Below are 22,663 nucleotides of genomic sequence, written 5' to 3'. Positions count from 1 at the left end.
CAGCCAAACATTAAATGCTGCAACAAGCTGTGGAGGCTTTCTTTCAGGAATACATCAAACAGCAGCCTAAGATGAGGTTTCTCATTTCCTCAGCCAGCAGGGCTCTGGGCAGGCTGGGTCTAAGCTTCCATCTCTGAAGGTGGGTCACAAACATGAAAGGACATGGGGATTCATAAAAAGAGCACCGGGCCGGAAGTCAGGAGAATTCGGTTCTAATTTTATTCTGTCCCCAACCAGTCATTTTATCTTGGCAAAGTAACTTATGCAATGGAGTCTCAATTTCTACTTTTGTGAAAGGGAAATGGTGGTACTGTAGGATGGAAACAGATACACGCTGAGTGTCTACGTGTATAGATACTTTATGAGGAGTATGAGCAAGAGCTCTGCAATGAGGGTTGCATTTGCTCGATATTACAGAAGAGGAAATAGGGGTTCTGAGAAAGGATAACTTGACTGAAGTCACATATTCTGGAAGAGATAGAGGCAGAATTCCTAGCACAGGGGATGTAACAAGTGACTGGGCCTTCCCATATTCCCATGTTCCATTTGGAATTCAACGACTATAAGAATTCTAAATTTGAAACTAACCTTCCAGACACTGTGAAGGTATTTTGTCAAGGTAAAGAGATAAATATATATTAGCAGTTGGTTGGAATGGCATATAATTTTAAAATATACATAAGAAGCCAGGCGCAGTGGCTCATGCCTGTAATCCCAGCACTTTGGGAGGCTGAGGCAGGTGGATCACTTGAGGTCAGGAGTTTGAGACCAGCCTGACCAACACGGTGAAACCCCATCTTACTAAAAATACATAAATTAGCCAGGCATCGTGGTGGGTGCCTGTAACCCCAGCTACTCGGGAGGCTGAGACAGGAGAATCACTTGAACTTGGGAGGCAGAGGTTGCAGTGAGCTGAGATCATGCTGTTGCACTCCAGCCTGGGCAACAAGAGTGAAACTCTGCCTCAAAATATATACATATGAATTTGAGACCTTGAGCCCCTTAGATATTAGACAGCTCTAAATGTTAAAACGCATTTTAATTGGAATTGTACTTGTACATAATACCCACATATACCTTATACTTTTGTAGGTTTTTAACATCAACACAGCTTTTTCTTACTCAAAGCTCTTCTCTTTCCCATATTTTCAAGAATATCACTTGATCCTCCTAACCATACACTATAAGGCTGGAAGAAGTCATCGCCCACGTTTTACAGACAAGGAGATTGTAGCCGATGCCTCTGGGGCCATTTCACCTCCCCTTGTCCCCTGATTTCAGCAGCAGCTGTGGCATGGACAGTTCTTGGAGGGCTCACTCACCTCTTGCAACCAGCATGTGACCTCAGACACATGCTGTGCTCCTGTCACTTCTCACCTCTCCAGACTCCCCCCTTCATCATAAAATGTGGAGGAGTTATACCCTCAGGAGCAATGTTGAAAGGACAGAGGAGGAAGAAGCCAGTGGATCCATGTCTCCTGTCTTTTTCATGGGCAATGTGAGAAGAATTCTGTGGGTTTCAGAGAGATCTCAATGGAATCAAGACCCCAGTGAAGACCCGGTTGCCTACAGCAGTGACTTCACTAACACACCCTTATATATATATCCTCCTTTCCTGTCTCATTCTCCCCACTCTCTCATTCCCACTTCCAAATAAACTATTTGCACCCAAGTCCTTATCTCCGGCTCTCTTTTGAGGGGACCCCACACTATGAGAGGCATCAAGGCTCAGTAGGGGAAGTAACCTGCACTGGGCCACACGGCTGCCAATAGAGAAGGCAGCACTCTCTCCCAGTTCTTCTGTCTGAATCCAGTGACTCTTTCATCTTCTACTTTCAGGTGTGCACACAAGGTTAAGAAACTGCCATTTCTACCTTACATAGATATAGAGAAAATTTTAAAATATGTGTTTGAACAAAAAATTAATAGTAAATAATGCTTACCTTTGCTCAGGGTTACACAGATTATCTGCCAGGCTACCATAAAAACATAAAAAACTGGGATTTTTTTTTGGGAGACAGAATCTCGCTCTGTCCTCCAGGCTAGAGTGCAGTGGTGTAATCTCGGCTCACTGCAACCTCTGCCTCCCAGGTTCAAGCAATTCTCACGCCTCAGCCTCCTGAGTAGGTGGGATTACAGGTACCCGCCACCATGCCCAGCTAATTTTTTATATTTTTAGTAGAGATGGGGTTTCACCATGTTGGTCAGGCTGGTCTCGAACTCCTGACCTCAGGTGACCTGCCTGCCTTGACCTCCCAAAGTGCTGGGATTACAGGCGTGAGCCACCGCGCCTGGCCAGAAGTGTGCATTTTTCAAAATTTTAAAGTATTACATCTTGCTTTGCTGGTGTTGTCTAATGTATCTGTGGAAGTAAATTATAAATGTTAAGTTTTGCCCCAAGTTTTACAGATGAGAAAGCTGAAGTTTTAGGATTTTCAGTGTAGCACATTTTACCAGTATTGGAACCAGGATTAGAATCTTTTTTTTTTAGGGATATTCCAGGTTTTGCCTACAAAATCTGTTCAATGGCAGGGGCGTAGATTATCTTCAATGCAAAGCATTGTTCTGGGGCTTTGCAGTGGGCATTATAAAAAAAAATCTTAGACTCTGTTCCCCTCTTTTCCAGTAATTGTACCACAATTTTCCTTTGAGGGTCCAATCCTCTTGAATACTCAATCCACATACACCAGGTTTGAGTGAACAACCAGTTGTTAATTCCAGAGCTTGGAATATGACCAGTGCCTGACCAATCAATGAATTCTCCCACTCGGGTCACAGTGACTTGTGCAAAGGATGGAAAGAGACTTCAGCTTGGCCAATGAGAATAAATATTGAGATTTTGCTGGGTCCATGGAGAAAGCCACTCTCTTTCCTAGGGAGCTAGGCTGGTCACTGTAGGTCTTGACTGCCTGCTGGCCATTTTGCCACCCTATGGGAAAAGCCCATCTAAAATGAAGCCACTAAAACAGAGAGGCGCATGGAGTCAGACTGCTGAATTGACACGGATCTAGCCTCCCCTGAATTTAGATTTGCTGCTGGACTTTTCAGTTACAGGAGCTGATGCATTACTGCCTCATCTTCTCCTTTCACACTTCTGACACTTGCAATTTACCAAGTCCTGTGTGAAACACTCTGTACTGAAGCATTAAAGAGATTCTGTGCAGTACCTCACCTCTGAAGAAACACATATCTGCTTTCCATTACCAAGGAATAGGCTAGGAAGTCAAGACACAGAAGCAGAGCTAATCAAATCTTGGGAGAATCCTTTGTCCCAGCTTCAGAGAGCCTTAGGAATGAGGTCCCGAACCAGTCTCTTTATGAATGCAGAAAGCAGCAGGCCTCAGACAAGCCCCATCACCTTTAACGTGGAGAATCCCAACTCCACAAACATTGTTTTCAGACTCACTCACCAGCCACCGCTTCCATTCAAAATCAAACAGCAACTAGAGTCCAGAGGAAATATCTTAGATTGGGAATTCTTTTTGTTGACCTTTGTTTTCCTTTCTCTCTTTCTTTAAAATTACATAGCAGCACTCAATTGAGAATCAATGCTTTAATATCTGTAAAGAATTTCCAATCACTCTCTACCCTCTGCTAAGCTGAATAATAAGAAATGGAGAGGTAGATGAAAGAAAAACATTGAGGCCAAACCAAGACACTTGTCCCAAGGCAATACGGACGTGAAAGAAACAATGGGTTGTCCTTGTTGTTAAAAGATTTTTCCCCTGCTCCTAAGAAACAGCATCATCAAATATTTACTTTCATATATAATATTTCAAAGCCAGGAGGGCAAGGCTCATGCTTGAAATGTAGGCAGGCTTATCAGAAATGGTACCTCAGGAGTTTTCAGAGCCTAGAATAGTCTCTGATTGTGCCAGGGAAATGAGGAAGAGGTATGTGATACAGATAGGTTTACCAGATGACCCACCAACAAAGATGTGTGGAGATCATTACTGGCCTAAGTATATACATGGGCTTCCAAGCCTCTGTTCGCTCTTAAATATATATATGGTAGAGACCTGGAGGTGACTCTCCTCATTGTCTTACGTCAGGCTTGGAATTCTGACATCTACACATTTGGCTTTTTTTTTTTTTTTGGGATGGAGTCTTGCTCTGTCACCCAGGCTGGAGTGCAATGGCATGATCTCGGCTCACTGCAACCTCCACCTCCTGGGTTCAAGCATTTCTCCTGCCTCAGCCTCCTGAGTAGCTGAGACTACAGGCACGTGCCATCACGCCCAGCTAATTTTTGTATTTTTAGTAGAGACGGGGTTTCACCATGTTGGTCAGGCTGGTCTCGAACTCCTGACCTTGTGATCTGCCCGCCTCAGCCTGCCAAAGTGCTGGGATTACAGGTGTGAGCCACCGCGCCCAGCACACATTTGGCTTTTGAATGTGACATACAGACTTACCTGATGAATTCCACAGAATAGTACTGAATAGGGGCGCTTCCTTCACTCGCTCCAGGTTTCCAAGACAGGGCCACCTCAGAATCCGAAACCACAATGACATGTGGCTGCTGGGGAGCTGCAGGAGGCAGGCAGGAATCTAGGTGGGATGACAAACACAACTAGACTAGGCTGGTGGTCTCAGCCGTTGGAGAGGTTTAATGGGCTAGGCTGGTGGTCTCAGCCATTGGAGACGTTTAATATAATACATAAACAGCTCGAGTGCTTCCTATACCCAAAATATCTCTGTTCAGAACAGCCTCAAAACCCAAACCAAACAAATATAAAAACATAATCACAACTTGATCACCATGTGAGGTTCGAGTCAATGAGAGCTGGTCTCCCCTTCTCCCCGTTGCACCCCTGACTGCAAATCCAATTAATTATGTCCCAGCCACTGATCCTGGGACACACAGTGGTAAGTTCCCTGGAAAACCTTCTGTCACATTCTCAACTCCTAATAGCATTCCATCTGTTTGCATTGTCAGAACTGATATTTACCTTCAAGGAAAATTGAATGCTTAGGATCACTGCCAATCATTCTTTTCTCTGTGTGTTTTGCCCCTGACAATCAGAATACATAGTAATGGTAGGTCATTTGGGAAATGCCCTTCTATGTAAAGATGCAGGAGTCACCCATGATCCCATCACTTCAAGTGACCGCTGTTTCTGATCACCTCCAGACACACACATCTCCCAGCCTTTGTTCACACTACTCCATCTGCCTGGGAGACCTTTCCTGTCTTTTCTTCCTAGCAAAATCCTATGCATTTTTTGTAACTCGGGCCAAAGGTAGGACTTTTCTGAAAGCCTCCGAGGCTGGGGCAGAGGAAGTGCGCCCTCCTGTGTGCTCCACAGCTTCCGGTGCAGTCCTTAGAAGTGCTGCTGTCACCAGGCGCGGTGGCTTACGCCTGTAATCCCAGTACTTTGGGAGGCAGAGGCAGGTGGATCACGAGGTCAGGAGTTCGAGACCAGCCTGGCCAATATGGTGAAACCCCATCTCTACTAAAAATGCAAAAATTAGCCAGGTGTGATGGCATGTGACTATAGTTCCAGCTACTCGGGAGGCTGAGGCAGAAGAATCGCTTGAACCCAGGAGGTGGAGGTTGCAGTGAGCCAAGGTCGCGCCACTACACTCCAGCCTGGGTGACAGAGTGAGACTCTGTCTCAAAAAAAAAAAAAAAAAGAAGTGCTGCTGTCACTCATTTGTCATTGGCTTCTCCTTCCACAAAAAGCTCCTTGCCAGCAGTGACCAGCATCAACCCAACTTTGTAGCCTACTGTCCACTTGGTGTCACCTCAATAAACATTAGTTGCATTCTCTTTGCCTATAAATCTCTTCTCCCACTCCCCTTCCTCACCTTCTTAATTCCTACTTACCTGTAGGATCTCCACTAGTTGTCATCTCTTCAGGGAATTCTTCCCTTACCCCTGTGTTGTACATTCCTACAGTGCTGGAGCATCTATCACACTCTGCAACTACACACTAATGAGGGAATGTCTAGACTCACCCCACTAAGTTCTGAGAGGGCGGGAGCTGTGCTTACTTTTGTTCTCTACTGAATTCCCAGAGCCTAGCACAGTGCTTGGCACATAGTAAGTCCCTATTGATATTTGCTGAATGAAGGATGCATGGATAGCAGCCTGCCACCTATTAATGAATTTGAACCTACTTTACCTTGGGACAAAGTGGTGACATGCCGAGGAGAGCTCAGCCGCCCTTTGCCAGCCTGGCTGTAAGCTGCTATGCTCACACGATATTCAGTGCCTGGTTTCAAATCTCCAATCACTTCCTCCTGTCAATGACCAAACAAGAAAGATGCTAACAATCAGTACATCTGTTTGGGCAAATTGTACAATTTCCATGAGGTTTATATCTCGAGGCCCCTGTGAAACTGCTTGGCACAGAGAATGTTTTGCTTTGTCTAGGACTGGCCCAGTTTTAAACTTTGCCAAGAAAAAAATAGCCATGACATATTTTCCAAGACTGGAGGATGGCCCTTTATTGAAATCTATCCATGGTCCTAGAACTAGATACATTCACACTAGCAAATGTTACTGTGAACATCAGAACTCTTTGATCAAAGTACTACGTTGCTGGAAGGCAGGTAATGATTCTTTCTAAGGCTGTAATTCCCCAGTTCCTTCTTTCCATTTGCAGATTTCAGATGCTCAGAGAATAGCTGCAGCTGCACACTGAGGTCTTGATTTGTACCTAGAAAGTAGGGACTGGAATTTTAGTTCTCAAATTTTAAACAGCATTAGAACTACCAGGAAGACTTTCTTAAAAGTATGTCTGTGTGTCTGTCTGTGTGTGTGTGTGTGTGTGTGTGTGTGTGTGTGTACTTCCCCTGCACAAACGGCCCTGAGCAGGAAGCCCCAGCTGAAGAAACTGAGGTCTTGATTTGTACCTACAAAGTAGGGACTGAAATTTTAGTTCTCAAATTTTAAACAGTATCAGAATCACCAGGAAGACTTTCTTAAAAGTGTGTGTGTGTGTGTGTGTGTGTGTGTGTGTGTGTGCGTGTGTACTTCCCCTGCACAAAGGGCCCTGAGCAGGAAGCCCCAGCGGAAGAGGGCTTTCTCCACCTTGAGCTTTGGCAAAAGTGGTGTGTCCCCAAAGCTACAGCACTAAATAGTAATTGGGAGCCTGGGTCTGATCGGTGGGAAGCAGCAGCCCATTGTAGTGGAAAGGGCACTGGCATTGTAGTCAACCAGCCCTGGGCTTGAATCCTGATTCTGCCACTTATTGTTAGCTGTGTCGCTGATATTAAATTCATTAAGCCTCAGTTTCTTCCTCTGTAAAACAGGCATGACATATAACCATCTTGCATGATTGTAACATTTGAGATACTGTGTGTAAAGCAGCCAGTATGGAAGATGTGCTCAGGAAATGAGTGGTCATGATATTGTCTTGGGCATGTGGGAACCTTCCTCTTCTCTGCTTACCTAGGCTCCCTGACTACTCCAAAGGCCAAGCCCTCCCTTTGACACCTTCCCTGACCATGCAGGTCTGGTGATCTTACCCTAATGAAAATTGTGCCACTACTTTAACACATTTACATTGTATTTATTAAAAACTGTTACTATTTCTCTTATGGGATTATAAGCAACTTGAAAGCAGGGACCATGTCTTATACTTTCTTCACAAGCTCTTTTGCAGATGTTTGAACGTCCATTGTTTCTAAGAAGAATTAAGGGCATCCCTACAATTTTTTAAAGCATTCAACAAATAATTAATGAATACTTAATACAGTAGTTCTCAAACCCTGATTACACATTAGAATCACTCGGTGATCTAAACGACTGAGGCCCGAACTCCACTCCAGACCACTTAAATCAGAATCTACAGGGGACAGAACCAGGAGTCTATTTGTTTAAAGCCCTCCAGGTGATTCTAATGTGCAGCCAGGTTTGTGAACTGCTGTTCCAGAGCTTGGCTCATCTCTCAGGCCCTGAACTGCCCCATCTGTTCCCCCTCCTCTCATTGTCCTGATCCCCCTAGATCCAGTATCTACCAGATCCTTCTGTATTTACTATGCTCAAGACTCACACACCTTAAAAACAGTAATTCCCTACCATACCTGCACCCCTAGCTCCTCTCCTTAGAGGCAACCTCCTTGAAGTTCTCTTTGCTGCCTCACCTCCTATTTACTCCTGAACTTACGCCCACCTGGCCACTCTCACTACAAACCTATTGAGATGTTCTTACCAAGGCACCGTAACAACTTTGTAATGAATCCAGTGAGTGCATCTCAGTCTTTAATGACTCTCTGCAGCTTTCAATACCATTGTCCACCCTTGCTTCTTCAATCTCTTGGCTCCGTTGAAAATCATGACTCTGCTCTTCCATGGTCACCTTCTACTTCTCGTGTTCCTCCTTTCCAATACCCTCCATCCACCCCCCTTTCTCTGCTACGTCTAAGGATTGGTCTTTCCCAGGATTTCGCCCTGTCACCATCTTCTCTTCTCCCTCGTAGTCTTGCTTGGGTAAACTCATCTCCCACTCCCTTAGCTTCTGGCACCACCTTCAGGGTGACACCTCGTGACTCTGCACCTCTAGCTCTGGCCTGCCTCCTGGTCTCCAGGCATGGATTTGTGAGGGCCTCTTGAACATCTACCCAGTGACTACCAAGCACCCCAAGTGTAACATAACCAAAGCTCAATGAATCATTCCTCCTCCTACTGCCAAAACCAAACCAAAACATAGCTTCACTGCTTGCCTTCTCTCTCTCTCTCTCTCTCTCATTACCCAAGGCCAGAATTCTTGATGCTTTCCTCTATGAGTTCACTCTACACCCCTCACCACCATCTCATCAGTTACCTATGCAGCAGATTCCACCTCTTTCATATCACTTGAATGTGTTTCTGTCATTTCATCCTTACAGCCCTTGAAGACCAAGTCCTCATAAATATGACAATGGGCTCTGATTCCCCTGCCACCAATGCTGCACTGCCTGTACCTCCAGTCTGGACTCCACAGTGCTATACTACTTATCTTTCTAAATATGCAATCTGATCACGTACTTCACACTTTAAAACCCCTTAGAAGAGCGTGTTTTTGTCCCCCTGTTTATCCTTCCAGCATCATCCCGTACCGTGTCCCCTCCTTACATTCTACATTCCAGTCATACTTAAGAACTTGGCAGGGCTCAAATTTATGCCATTCAATGCCTCTGGGCCTTTGAACCTGCTGCTCCCTCTACATGAAATGTCCTTCTCCCTACTCCTGCCTGGCTCACCCCTACTCATTCTTCATGACTCAGATCAGCTGAGACGTTACCTCATTTCTCTGGCCCCGCCCCAGTCTGGTTAGGTGCCCCTCCTCTAGGCTGCCCTGGTGTCCTTGGTGCACCCCAATCTGAGCAATGCTCACCTTGTATTTTAATTATCAGTTGATTTGTCACCTTGTCCCCACCCACTTGAAGCCAGTAAGCAAGTTCTTATTCCCCTGGCATCCCAAAGCTTAGCATAGTATTACCAGACATCTAGCAAATGCTCAAGCAATGCTTCTTGATGAATGAATAAATGAACTAATGAATGATTAAAGAAAGAAATCAAGCCAAGATGTCTCATGTAAACAGATGACCTCATCAAGAAGCCAGCCGATACTACTGAGCCCTGCATCTTGACTCACAGCATCAGTACTCCTGCCCCAGGCCTTGGATTAGCACCTCCAGGGACAGGACTGACTCTCCTGCCCACCTCCCTCCAGCCACCCCACCATGCCTTTCAGACCTGTTCCCTCATCCCATTTCCACCTTGGTGCCCAAGTTACGGCCCCTTTGACTCTTTGCCTGGGTCTTCAGTCTGCCCCTCCCTCCCACCCACCTCCACTCCACCCTACATGTGGCTTCACAAGGGGCCTTTGCTGCACATGTGGACCTGCCTTCAGATCCCCTCTCCAGCTCTACTTCCTCACATCTGTGCTCCTGAGCTTCACCTTCTGTCTCCAGGTTTCACGTCAAGTTTGGTGGTTAAGAGACTGGAGGCAACAGGTGGATCCAACCCTCTGTTCTCACTCCTCTCCCGACTAACACTCCAGGCTTTCCTCAAGGAAGCAGAAACACTTTCAAACCAACACAGCACTCTCCCAGTTTTGCTTTAGGATCCTTTACTCCTGGGAAGTCATGATGCTGGATGAAGTATAGGTGGTGATATGGATTCAGACAGTATTGTAGATATCACTTAATACCAAACACAGCTACCATTAATTACCAGTGATGGGTGTTTCCTCTGTTTCATGAACAAAGGGAAAGAAGGCTATGTATAGCTTTATTTAATTCTTCCTTCAGTTCCGTGAGGTAGGTATCACTCTTATTTTCATTTACAGAGGAGAAAACCTAAGCCCTGAAAAGTTCACAATTTGCTCAAGATTTAGTCAGTGGCAAAATAGGGATTTGAGCCTTTCTCCGTTTGACACCAATGCCCAAGTTCTAATTGGCCAGTACATGTACAAAAAATATTAAATAATGTTTAAATCAACAACAAACAATATTTACCATAATCACTGGAAACTAGATTATTATTACTTTACGACCATGGAAGTTAACGTATTAGAAATTTAAATGTTACCACTGAAAACCAAGCAAAATCGTATTTGTAGTTCCATATATAGATCAAAAAATTCTGGAACTCTTTACTGGATATGGAAGATTAGTGCTACCTTCAGCTTGGGTGCATTCTGAGGGGTAGAGGGTGACCTTCCCTGAAGCTGGCTGTTTCCCGTCTGTCTCTTTTCCTGCACTGACACTCCGGAAAGTGGCATAATGGTAAAAATCAAGGGGGCTGAGTGGTCAGGGCCACAGAAACGTGTTGAATTCAGTGATTTCACCTTCACTTCCTCCCCTGACATCTCTCCTCTCAAATGGAATCCTCAATGTATTGTAACTTGTGATAACCCTTGCAATTTGTAGTAAAATACCACACAGCATAAATCTTTGTATTTCTGTCCTTAAAGGTCTTACCATCACCACTTCAGCCTGGCATCAAACTAGGGCAGATGCTGAACATGCTCTTTTCAAAGTAGAGAAACAGTCTTTTGCTTTGTTTTGTTGCCTTGTGGAAGTCTGAAGACAAGTCAAGATGTTTATCTCTCCTGCACTTCATTTCTACACAAGTTAGTGAGAAACAGAGTCGTGGGAATTGCTTTCTTGGAGTAGAGGCCAGAGTGACCTCAACAGTCTCCCCTAGGCCCTTCCTCCACCATTTTTTGGGTGAAGCTGAGTGCTTTGCTGCAAAATACCCCCTACTTGGTGTTTGCCTGGTTCTTTCTGGAATGTAAAACCCCTTTGTCTGCTCAACACCGCTGGTGGCTTTATGCGAGCAGTGAATTCACATCTATAGAAGAGAAAATCAAGGCTGGTCACTGAGCCCGGTGAGAAAGCTCAGGCGACTTTCAGGACTCTTGCCTTCTTCACAGATTGCCAGAACAATAAACTTTCATCTTACAATTGGTATCATCATTATAGTTTTCATTTATATAGCATTTTGGAATTTATAAAATCTCTGTACGCCATCATTTCCTTTAATCTTCACAACAACTCTAAGAGGTCAGTCCTATTATCTCCATTTTACAGACAATGAGACTGGATTCAGAGAGTTTCTGTAACTGCCCTTGTGGGCAACAGTTGGTCTGATTTCCCTCATGAAACACACCATGACTTTATACGGTTCTAATTATCTGACTCGTAGACACAGCATCACTAACTAGTTCTGAAATGAGCACCTGGTTTTTCAGATGTTCAACTGCCTTTTCCATTCCCTCCATTCACAGTCTGTCACCTGGATGACTCGTCTCTCAGTATCCATTCTCTCCTTTCTCATAATAGAATCCCCATATTTCAGTTGGGCCACTCAAAGACTACATTCTCAGCCTCCTTTCCAAGTGTGGTCCTATGGCTAGATTCTGTCCAATAGGTTGTGAGTGAGAATGCTGAGGCCAACTTTTGAGATATCCCTTAAAAGGAAGGAGTGTGTTTCCTTTCCTCTTTTCCTCATCTATTGGCTAGAGTGTGGATGTGGCAGCTTAAGCCATTCTGGACCATGGGCAGGAGGACACAAGGGGTTGGCAGAACAATGGGTTGGAAGGAGCCTGGCCCTCTGATCAAGTGAAGCCAACAGAAGGTGACATCCAGACAGTTCCATGGGAGGAATGTAAATGCACATCTCATTAGAAACACTGTTAATTTGAGTTTCTGGCCTGTTAGACTTATATCTATCAAATACATGACACAATATACAAAAGCAACCTGGGTTACCATGTAAGAAGAGCCCAAGAAAAGATGAGACTCTTCTTTTTTTTTTTTTTTTTGAAACAGAGTTTCACTCTTGTTGCCCAGGCTGGAGTGCAATGATGCGATCCCAGCTCACTGCAACTGCCTCCCAGGTTCAAGTGATTCTCTTGCCTCAGCCTCCTGAGTAGCTGGGATTACAAGCGTGCACCACCATGCCTGGCTAATTTTTGTATTTTTAGTAGAGATGGGGTTTCACCACATTGGCCAGGCTGGTCTCAAACTCCTGACCTCAGGTGATCTGCCCACCTCAGCCTCCCAAAGTGCTGGGATTACAGGCGTGGGCCACCGTGCCCAGCAAGACTATTCTTTACTGCATACTTTTCACTCTGCATTGACAAAATCATGTTGAATTGTTCCGAACTGAAGTCTCTGACTCTGATTTCAGACCTTGCCTTTACCTCCTTACATGATGCTGTTCTTTCTCCTCCTACTGCTAGAAATACAGATCATTTGGCTTCAGAAATAAGGCTAGAGGCTGTCCTATTCACTAGTTCAGATGAGCACAGCTGAGAGGAGGCATGAATTGAATAGAGCACTTGACTGTGAGCCAGGAGAGCCAGGTTCTGCTGCTAACCTAGCTGTGTGGTCTTGGGGATGCCACTTAGCTTCTCTGGGCCAAAGATTCAACACTGAAAGTCTATGATTCTTCTAAAACAACCTTCATTAATAGCTAGTAAACTTGGATTCAACCTCACAGTTGACCGCACAAGTCAAGGCTGGGCCTCAGTTGCCTTAGTGGCAGTTGGGACCACCTAGCATTGTCCAGTGGAAGGCACCAGAGAAACAGAAAAGTGCTATCTTCCAAGCATCCTTCCTCCAATGCACTGAGGACGGCTGTGCAGAGCAGGGTGGAGGGAGGAGTTGTAAGGATTTCTATTCCCTGGTCACAGGAAGTTATTTTCCAGAGTTTTGTTACAGGGGCAGCATTGGCTTTGGAGGCTGGACAAATCTTCCTTATGTGGATCTGTCCTGCGTACTGCAGGAAAGTTAGCATACCTGATGCTTGTCTACCAAAACGCCCAGGAGGGGACAAAGGTACCCCCAGTTGAGAACCATTGCTAGTCCATCCCCTCATTTTTTTTTTTTTTTTTTTTGAGATGGAGTTTCACTCTTGTTGCCCAGGCTAGAGTGCAATGGCGCGATCTCGGCTCACTGTAACCTCCGCCTCCAGGGTTCAAGCAATTCTCCTGCCTCAGACTCCCAAGTAGCTGGGATTACAGGCGCCTACCACCAAACCTGGCTAATTTTTTTGTAGTTTTAGTAGAGATGGGGTTTCACTATGTTGGCCAGGCTGGTCTCGAACTCCTGACCTCAGTTGATCCACCCGCCTCAGCCTCCCAAAGTGCTGGGATTACAGGCTTGAGCCACTGTGCCTGGCCCCATCCCTTCATTTTATAGTTGAAGAGAAATTCAGAAAAGATCAGTGACTTCGCCCCTGGTCACCCTTGCTCTGATGAGAGAGCAGGAACACGTCTTCTGATTCCTGTAAGTTTTCTCTCTCTAAGTTCTGGGTCAACCAGTGGACTCTAAAGCAGGGTGGTGGTGCATCGCCGGGGACAGCAAGACAATCCACTGAGATGCCAGAAGAAAACACATGAACTCTATTTCTGTTTTATCTCCTCCTTTAAAATTCTGTGAGATTTTATAATGTACATAATATATTAGTACCGTAGCATATGTATAATTTATAAATACATAAATATTCGTATACTGGTGCATGTTCAAATATTTTTTAACTGATGGCATGCATGATCAAAAAGTGTAAAGACCACCACCCTAAACATTCTTTTCTATTTCTAACTCTAAAAAATTTACCAAATTGCCCTGATTTGTTTTACTATTCTGTTTTCCAGGAGGAAATCTGGAGGGTATTATTTTAAGAAAAAGATAAGGTGGGCTTGAAATGCTGCCAAATTGAAAGCTACTATAAGGCAGATTATCAAACAATGCAGCCCAACTCCACATTATCAGCCAGGGTATTTTGGTCATTTTATCAGTTAAATCAGATTAACCATTTGTCAACCCACTCCCCGGTTTAGCATTCAATCCAGAAAACCAAATCTACCTTTTAAGGTAATCGGTCCTATCTTACTGAAAACACAATCTGTAATTGTTAGGGGAAATAAGGGATTGATAAAAGAGGAGGTAAAAGGAGGGGGAGCTACCTCCACAGAGGTGCTCACATGTTAAATATTTTCTCTCCTTTTCAATCTGTTTTACCTACTCTTGAACCAGAGCTTAAATTACTTCAACCTTCAGAGAGGTTCCCCTTAACCCTACTCTGCCATGTGAGATGAAGGAGTACATGCAGGGATAAAAGTGGCTTCCTCTAAACGATTAAAAATTCACCTTGTAGATTCAGCTGTCTGTGCTTACACTAGAACTAGGCACTCTTCACTGAGCCTTAATCAGCAAGAGGGAGATGCAGGAGAATCAACATTTTGATGAAAAGAGATCCCTTGAATCCTGGATTGGGACAGGGGTTTAACTTTTCTAAAACATGCTTACAAAAATTGCCTGATGATCAGGTTGTCCCTGGAGAGAGGAAAAAACAGAGGCAACATGAAGAGTAAAAAAAAAAAAAAACTTGCATGAGTAAAATAAATCTGTACAGCACCTGCCCTTTTGCCATGCACAGCCAAGGGCAGCAAACACACATCTTTGCAATACGAATCATACTAACCACTTACTAAGCTCTCATTCTCTGCCAGGTATCGTGCTGAAGTTTCTACAATCATTACCTTATAACTCACATCTTCATTTACAGAATGATACGATATAATAACTCACATCTTTATCTATAGAATGATATGATATAGTAGAGTTCCTAAAACTTTCTCTGTTCTTTCCACCCTTAGTGTGTCAGTAATATTTATAGCATCTCTATGCCAAAAGAAATGTCTAACTGTTCCATTTATTAAGTAGTTATATCCAAACAACTTGGTAATAATAGTTGATATGGTTTGGCTCTATGTCTCCACCCAAATCTCACCTTGAATTGTAATAATCCCCATGTGTCAAGGGTGGGACCAGCTGGAGGTAATTGAATCATGGAAGTGGTTTATCCCATGCTGTTCTCGTGATAGTGAGTGAGTTCTCACAAGAGCTGATGATTTTATAAGGGGCTTCCCCCTTCACTCAGCACTCATTCCCTCTCCTGCTGCCCTGTGAAGAGGTGCCTTCCGCCATGGTTGTACGTCTCCTGAGGCCTCCCCAGCCATGCAGAACTGTGAGTCATTTAAACCTCTTTTCTTTATAAATTACCCAGTGCCAAGTATGCCTTTATTAGCAGCGTGAGAACGGACTAATACAGTAGTTCACACAGATGTTGCTGTTTTCCTAAAAAATGTTAACTATTCTACTGTGCCCATGTGAGCCTGCTGCAGAGCCCTGGAGCACCCTGGCACACAGTTTGGGAATCAAAGACACACTATGATATATGTCACTGAGGAAACTGAGACCTAGTAAGGTTAAGCAGCTGTTTTGTTGAAATGCAGAAATCTGAACACAAGTCATCAGAATCCAGGACCCATTCTGCTATATCAGACTCCTCCCATTGCATTGCTGAATCACTGCCTTTATGTCTAGTCTTGATTTCCTCTTTTCATTCTCTTTATTCTGCAACTCTCCCCACCCCCCACCCCCCACCCCCCCAAACACACACATACAAACACACACACACACAGAGATTGAGAGAGAGAGAGGCATGTGTGGACACATTCATGCTCATTCATTCCCTGGGCTCAAACCATTCCAACTGGGATGTCCCTCCCTTGAGTCTGCCTTTGCAGAAAGTTCCTGCTTTGGTCCTCAGTCCCAACTTTCACCTCTTGACCATTTGTTCTCACACTCACCTACCTATCCCTCTTCAAACCCTGTCTACTAAGCAGCATGTTAATAACGACATCTGATCTTACTTTGCTCCCTAATTGTTTTATCTGTGTGGATGTGGTTTTCAGAAGACTGAAAGCTGCCTCCAAACAGGGACTGTGTGTTGTCTTGTGTTGGGCATAGAGTAGCCCCTATGCAAGTTTGTCAAAATTGGCAAGATGATCAAATGCAGAATTTGATAGCATACTCTAATGCCTAGATGTTGATAATGGAGAGAATATATTTAACAAATAAATCATTGGGAATGATAACTACCATCCACATGGCTTTTATTTGATCCTCACAAGAGAATAATTATTACACCCCTTTCAAGGAAAAAAAGTTGAGGTTTAGACAGGTTAAGTGACTCTGACCAACATTACCCAACCTGTAAATGGAAGAAACAGGCCTAAAAGTCCAGAATGCTGGTCTCCCTCCCAGCCTTGTTTAGGTATATACAGCAGTGACCTTCAGAGAGATGCCAATATTCAGCCCAGGTTCTGTGATGGGCAGGATATCAATTTCAGAGGCACTGTCTAGACTCAAAGGCATGTATCACTCTTGATACCTGGACTGGGTTCCAGGCCAAGCAGTGAGCCCTGCAGGACACCAGGCTGGGGTGGCTGGGGATACTACTAGGGACAATCAGACTCCTTGGTGAGTTCAATGAGCTTATTGAAAGTTCCAACCCAACACATCACCCTTTCTTGAGAGAGTAAACTACAGAGGCTGGGGTTGACAGCTTCTGCGGCCAATGCTGGGTGCCGAAGCAAAAGTCTATTTTGAGCTTAAAAGCATGTCATACAAAATAAAAGCAAGCTGGAAATGTGCATCTATTCCTTCTGAGTCATGAGAGCTTTGGTAGAACCAGCAAGGGCAGGGGCTCAGAGGTCAGTCAGCTCTGAGTTTACAGTTGATGCTGTTACTCGCTAATGTATGACTTGAAAAAAGTTACTTCACCTCTCCGAGTCTCAGCATCCTTGTCAGTAAAATGAGGTCATAGGATAGTTGTGAAGATTAAGTGGCAAAGCAAATGTAAAACAGAGGGTGGTGGCTGCCAGGTAACAGATGCTCAATAAGTGATAGTTCCTTATCATGGATGACAAACAGGTTTCTCTCAGGTGCTGCTGCCAGAAGGCACGGATCAAACAGGAGTTAGCACCACCACCACCATTATAATAGTGTTATGAGCACTGGTGCTAACTCCTTGTAGAGCAATTCAAAAGGCTCTAGCCTGGAGTAGTGGCAGAATTAGGAAGGAGGAGGGGAGTGAAAGAAAAGAAAATTCAAGATGCCTAAGGCCAAAAATTCACTCAAGAGACCTTGATGAGAAACAGAAAAGAAAATAGATGAGGACCCAACAATCGGTTAGTGGAAGGATGGGGCACTGGGCTTGAAAAAAAAATAAACAATTTGGACCTTTTAAATATACATTTCAAATTACATCTTCTTCTTCTGCATTGTGTCTTCAGGCAGCTGGGAAGATACAAATGTATCACATTTATTTATAAAGCTTTTATTGGGATTAAAAAAAACAGAACTGAACTTTATGAAGAAAAGAAGGGGAAAAACCAGCTGTAAGGTGGCAGTTTTCTTGCATGATAAAATGGGGTTGAGTCCAGGATGGAAGCGTTTACGCCAGGACTCTTTCGTCAGATGCCTGTTTTCCAGAGATGTAGATGGCATGGTTCAGAGGAAATGTACATGAATGACATTTGGAAATCCTAAAGGACTATTACAAGCATTAGTTATTATTATTACATGTACAGTAGCACACACACCAAATCAGCAATCCGCCCGAATAGTGCCCACATGCTTTTGAGTGGGCTGCCAGGATGGAAAGACTCACCGTGGTCGGGATGTCCCGGCTGAGAGGCACGCTGTGCAACTGCTCCTGCAGGGATTTATCTGCGCCAACCTCAGAGTAAAAGACCTTGAAAAGATGCAGACACCCTGGTGAGAGCAGAGCCCGTGCTTGTGTAAGATCAAAGGTTGTAATTGCACTCACAGTGGCAGCAGGCTCTGAGGTGCGTTGCCTAACATCACGTGCACTAGTTCTGCGGGAACACACATCAGACCTACTTGGGTTGGGTGGGGGGTGTTGCAAACTCAGAAGCCTGAGGAGTCCAGGAGGAAGACACATATCAATGAAGTGAAATGCAGAGGTCTGCACATGGCTCGTGTTATTTTTCCCAAAATGCATGAGCCTCCTGGGTAATCTTTCATTTTCTCACTTTTGATAAGACATGAGCCCAGAGATATATTCCTCTACTTTCAGAAAACAATAGGATGAGGGCCATGATCAACGGCTACTGTCCCTTGGTGAAATGGAGACAGTAGCAGGTGGTGGGATTGGGGTGGTACCGGGGTCTTACATTTCAGCTAAAATAAGCAGCTCAGTTCCAGCAGGTGGAGAGGAATGTGGACCCCGTGTGGCCAGCTCTCCCCATATCCCAGAGAGTGCACAACTCCAAACAATTATGTGAAATGTCTTGACTTCTCAAAGTTGACTCATTTCTAAAAACACTATTCAAAGAAAACATTTTGGTGAAATGATATCAGCCCAACTTGCAGCCTCTGATAGATAAGAATGCATTCTCTGGTGCTTCCTCCATTTTGCCTCCCCACCTTCTTACTTTACATTATTTTGTACTTGTTGACAACATTCCACAGTGATTTCCTGTTTCCCGTGTTCCTACTTTATTCTCCAGATTTGACTATAGGCAACTGAATAGCAAAAACCATGTCCTTTTAGTTTATATTTTCCCACAGCTGAACAGAGGAAGGACTGGATAGATCCTAAGTGAGTAATGCAGATGTGATGTGACATTCAGGGCATTTACAAATACCCTCCAAAGCGGGACATTTCTTCTAGCTTTATGGAGGGAGAATGGGGCAGTTATTGATATGGAAGGACAGATATCTAGAAAAAGCAAGGATGAGAAAGACATACAGTCACACGACACACCCACCGAGGAAACTCCCATGCCCGTGTACTCACAGTGTACCCAAGGATGGGACTTCCAGGATGCCTTGGCATTTTCCACTGGATGCTGAAAGCCGTACAGTTCAATGCGCCCAGCTTGATGTCAAGAGGAGGCCCTACCTTGCCTGCCCCCAAACAAAAGAGATTGTGTTAGAGGCTCCACACATCCCACCTTGAGTATACTTACACAAGATTTAAGAGTGCATTATCTAACAGATGAAAAGCATACTTAAAGATAATTCCAGAAATGCAGTCAATTTCTGATACACCACACCTATCTCAGCTGACCTCACTCACTTTGCTATCCCTTCCCAACCTGGCATCAGTAGATAAATCAGTCCAACTATTGCCCTTATTCTCTCGGGTAACTTCTAATAGGTCAGGGACCAGCAAAGGGAGATTCAGGGTAGCATAGACCACAAACACTTCTGACTTGACTCTAAAAGTTTTAAATGTATTAAAGTAAGATGACAGGCACATTTGTATTTACTCAATAGCATATATGTTTTATGTATACATTACATAGATGTGTTTGCTTATATAGCTAGGATATTCCTATTGTGGGACATTTAAAAAATATAGTTATGTATAAAATGAAGTTTAAAAATTTCAAATGCTTTACTATCTATCTTAAGTAACTTCATAGTTACAGATGATAAGATTTATAATCATCAAATAATATATACAGGTTGCCACAATTTAGAAAACATAAAAAATTATCTCTAATTCTAACATTCAGAAATGAGTCTTGTTAGCATTGTGGTATATCTCTTGTTGGTCACATGCAATTTAAAAAAAAGTGTTTGTGTGTGTGTGTACGTGTGTGTGTTTCTATACAGTTGACATCCCTTATCTGAAATTTCAGATTTTTTTGGATTTTGGAATATTTGCAATATACTTAGCTGTTGAGCATCTCAAATCCAAAATGCTTCAATGGGCAGTTCCCTTGAGCGTCATATTGGTGCTCAAAAAGTTGGATTCTGGAGCATTTAGGGTTTCAGATTTTTGGATTTGGGAAGCTCAGCTTTGTGTGTGTCTGTGTGTCTGTGTGTGTGTGTGTGTGTGTGTGTGTGTACGGAGTCTCACTCTGTCGCCCAGGCTGGAGTACAGAGGCGCCATCTCGGCTCACTGCAAGCCCCGCCTCCCGGGTTCACGCCATTCTCCTGCCTCAGCCTCCGGAGTAGCTGGGACTACAGGAGCTCGCCACCATGCCCGGCTAATCTTTTGTATTTTCTAGTAGAGACGGGGTTTCACTGTGTTAGCCAAGATGGTCTCGATCTCCTGACCTTGTGACCTGCCCGCCTTGGCCTCCCAAAGTGCTGGGATTACAGGCGTGAGCCACCGCACCCAGCCATGTGTATGTAATTTTTAAATTGTTTTGTTATATATAGTGATTATGTATATATACATACATGTTAATAATTTTAAGTCTTATTTCACTTAGTATATATATAGTACAAATAGCATATTTACAATCATTAAAATCATTATTTTTAACGGCTGTAAATTTTTCCATATAACACATGTGCCATAATAAACAGCATTTGTCATCCCGCTATTGCTAGGCAATTTATTCCCAATATTTTGCTATCTTAAGTAATGCTCCATGAGGGCAGGGACCAGGTCTATCTTGTTCAGAGTACAGAAACGAGTAATGGTAAAAGCACAATAAACATTCCTTAAGTGAATGAACATTCTGCAACTTGATTTTCCACTTACTAATATGTCCTGGTGAGATTTCTTTTTAACTATTGCATGTAATTCTCCAGCATATCAGTTAGGATACTTTGCAACTCACAGAGATCTAATGTATCTATTTAATGGACTGCTTCTAGGGCTTGTCATCAATGTTTTTAATAACAGAACCCAAAGTTTTTCTAGTGGATCAAGTGATAGAAGCCCAGTGCTGTCAGCAGGAACCATGAGGTCAAAAGTCAGCTCCCCTCTGCCCCATATACACCTACGATTGTCACCACTCAGAGATTTAATTCTTAATGATCTCTCTGACTCTGCCATTAAATCTGTTCCAGATTTAATGTCTCATCTGATTGGCTAGACTTAGGCCATGTGGCTTCCTCTTGGCTCAACCAAGAGGCAGTAGAGGAAGGATCAGTCCTTTCTGGTTTCTAAACTGGGAAATCACAGGATGAGACGAGTTCTGGGAATTGTTCTTCCACCAAGCCCATCCACAGTAAAGAAGGAACCCCACAGGAGGATAGGATCATAGAAAAGAGTAGTGGGAAGTTGGATGGCCAAAACTCTGCTTTTCAGAGCACGCATGTACATTAACTATTACTCCATTGATTGACATTGCAGTTATTATCAAAATATCGCTGGTAAAAATAATGCTGAAAAGAACATCTATATCTGTGCCTTTTTGCACACATGTGCCAGTGTTTCTAGGATGGATACCTATAAAATTTATCGAGTACATACATTTTCATTTTTACTACTGATGACTTATTGCTCTCCCCAAAAGAGTAAATGCATAAATCTTTAGGTGCATTCAATTATTTATTTGGGTAAATTCTTAAAACAGAGCTCTTGTGTCCAAGATGGTATCTCGACCTTGACACTATTGACATTTGGGGCTGCCTAGTTTTTGTGGGGGCTGCCCTTTTGCATTACAGGATGTTGAGCAGCATCCCTGGTCTCTACCCACTAAATGACAGTAGTACTCCCCAACCCGTCGTGAAAACTAGTAACATGTCCACACATTACCAAATGCTCCCCAAGGGGCAAAACTGCTCCCCGTTGAGAACCGTTGATTTAAGGGAATGAATATTTTAAAGATTTCTAATAAATATCATCAAACTTACATTTAGAAAATTAACCAATTTAGAAGTTTATAGTGGTGTACATGAGATGTATAAGTAACAGTATAAAGTAACACAGCCCCACCAGCTCTTACTACTACCACTTTTTAAAGAATTTTTGCTCAGAGAATGAAAAAATTTGTTTAAAAAGCCACAGACTAGGAGAAAATATTTGCAAAAGAAATATCTGATAAAGGTCTGTTATCCAAAATATGCAAATGCTATAGAGAAAACATTTGTGTCCTTCCAAAATTCATATGTTAAACTCTAATTCCTAATGTAATCATATTTGTAGATGTGGCCTTTGGGAGGTGATTAAGTCATGAGGGTAGAGCCCTCATGAACAGGATTAGTTCCCCAAAAGATATCCTAGAGAGCTCCCCCTCCCCTTCTGCTATGTGAAGACACAGCAAGAAGACAGCTGTCTATGGGCCAGAAAGTGAGCCTTCACCAGACACCAAATCTGTTGGTGCCTTGGTCTTAGACTTGTCTGCCTCCAGAACTGTGAAAAATAGATTTCTCTTGTTTATAAGCCACCCAATCTATAGTATTTTGATATAGCAGCCAAACAAACTAAGATAACAAAGAACTCTTAAAACTCAACAGGCCGGGCATGGTGGCTCACGCCTGTAATCCCAGCACTTTGGGAGGTCAAGGCAGGTGGATCACCTGAGGTCAGGAGTTCGAGACTAGCCTGGCCAACATGGCAAAACCCCATCTCTACTAAAGATACAAAAATTAGCTGGGC

The 22,663-nt window shown here is 43.6% G+C and overlaps 1 protein-coding gene across 2 annotated transcripts in view; it reads right to left on the bottom strand.

The window, feature by feature from the left end:
- EGFLAM (EGF like, fibronectin type III and laminin G domains) overlaps positions 1-22,663 on the bottom strand; it is a 206,922-nt gene that overhangs the window by 108,737 nt on the left and 75,522 nt on the right. For both annotated transcript variants that reach the window (NM_001205301.2, NM_152403.4), the window contains exons 2-5: positions 19,115-19,224; positions 17,963-18,046; positions 6,126-6,243; positions 4,413-4,548 (exon numbers count right to left, since the gene is read on the bottom strand). In NM_001205301.2, coding sequence (NP_001192230.1) covers positions 4,413-4,548; positions 6,126-6,243; positions 17,963-18,046; positions 19,115-19,224 — 448 coding nt within the window. The remainder of the gene's footprint in view (positions 1-4,412; positions 4,549-6,125; positions 6,244-17,962; positions 18,047-19,114; positions 19,225-22,663) is intronic.

This window comes from Homo sapiens, chromosome 5 (assembly GCF_000001405.40).
Source record: "Homo sapiens chromosome 5, GRCh38.p14 Primary Assembly".
In the NCBI taxonomy this organism is placed as follows: Eukaryota; Metazoa; Chordata; class Mammalia; order Primates; family Hominidae; genus Homo; species Homo sapiens.
The sequence above is the reverse complement of the archived record's forward strand: the minus strand, read 5'-3'. Positions and strand labels throughout refer to the sequence as shown.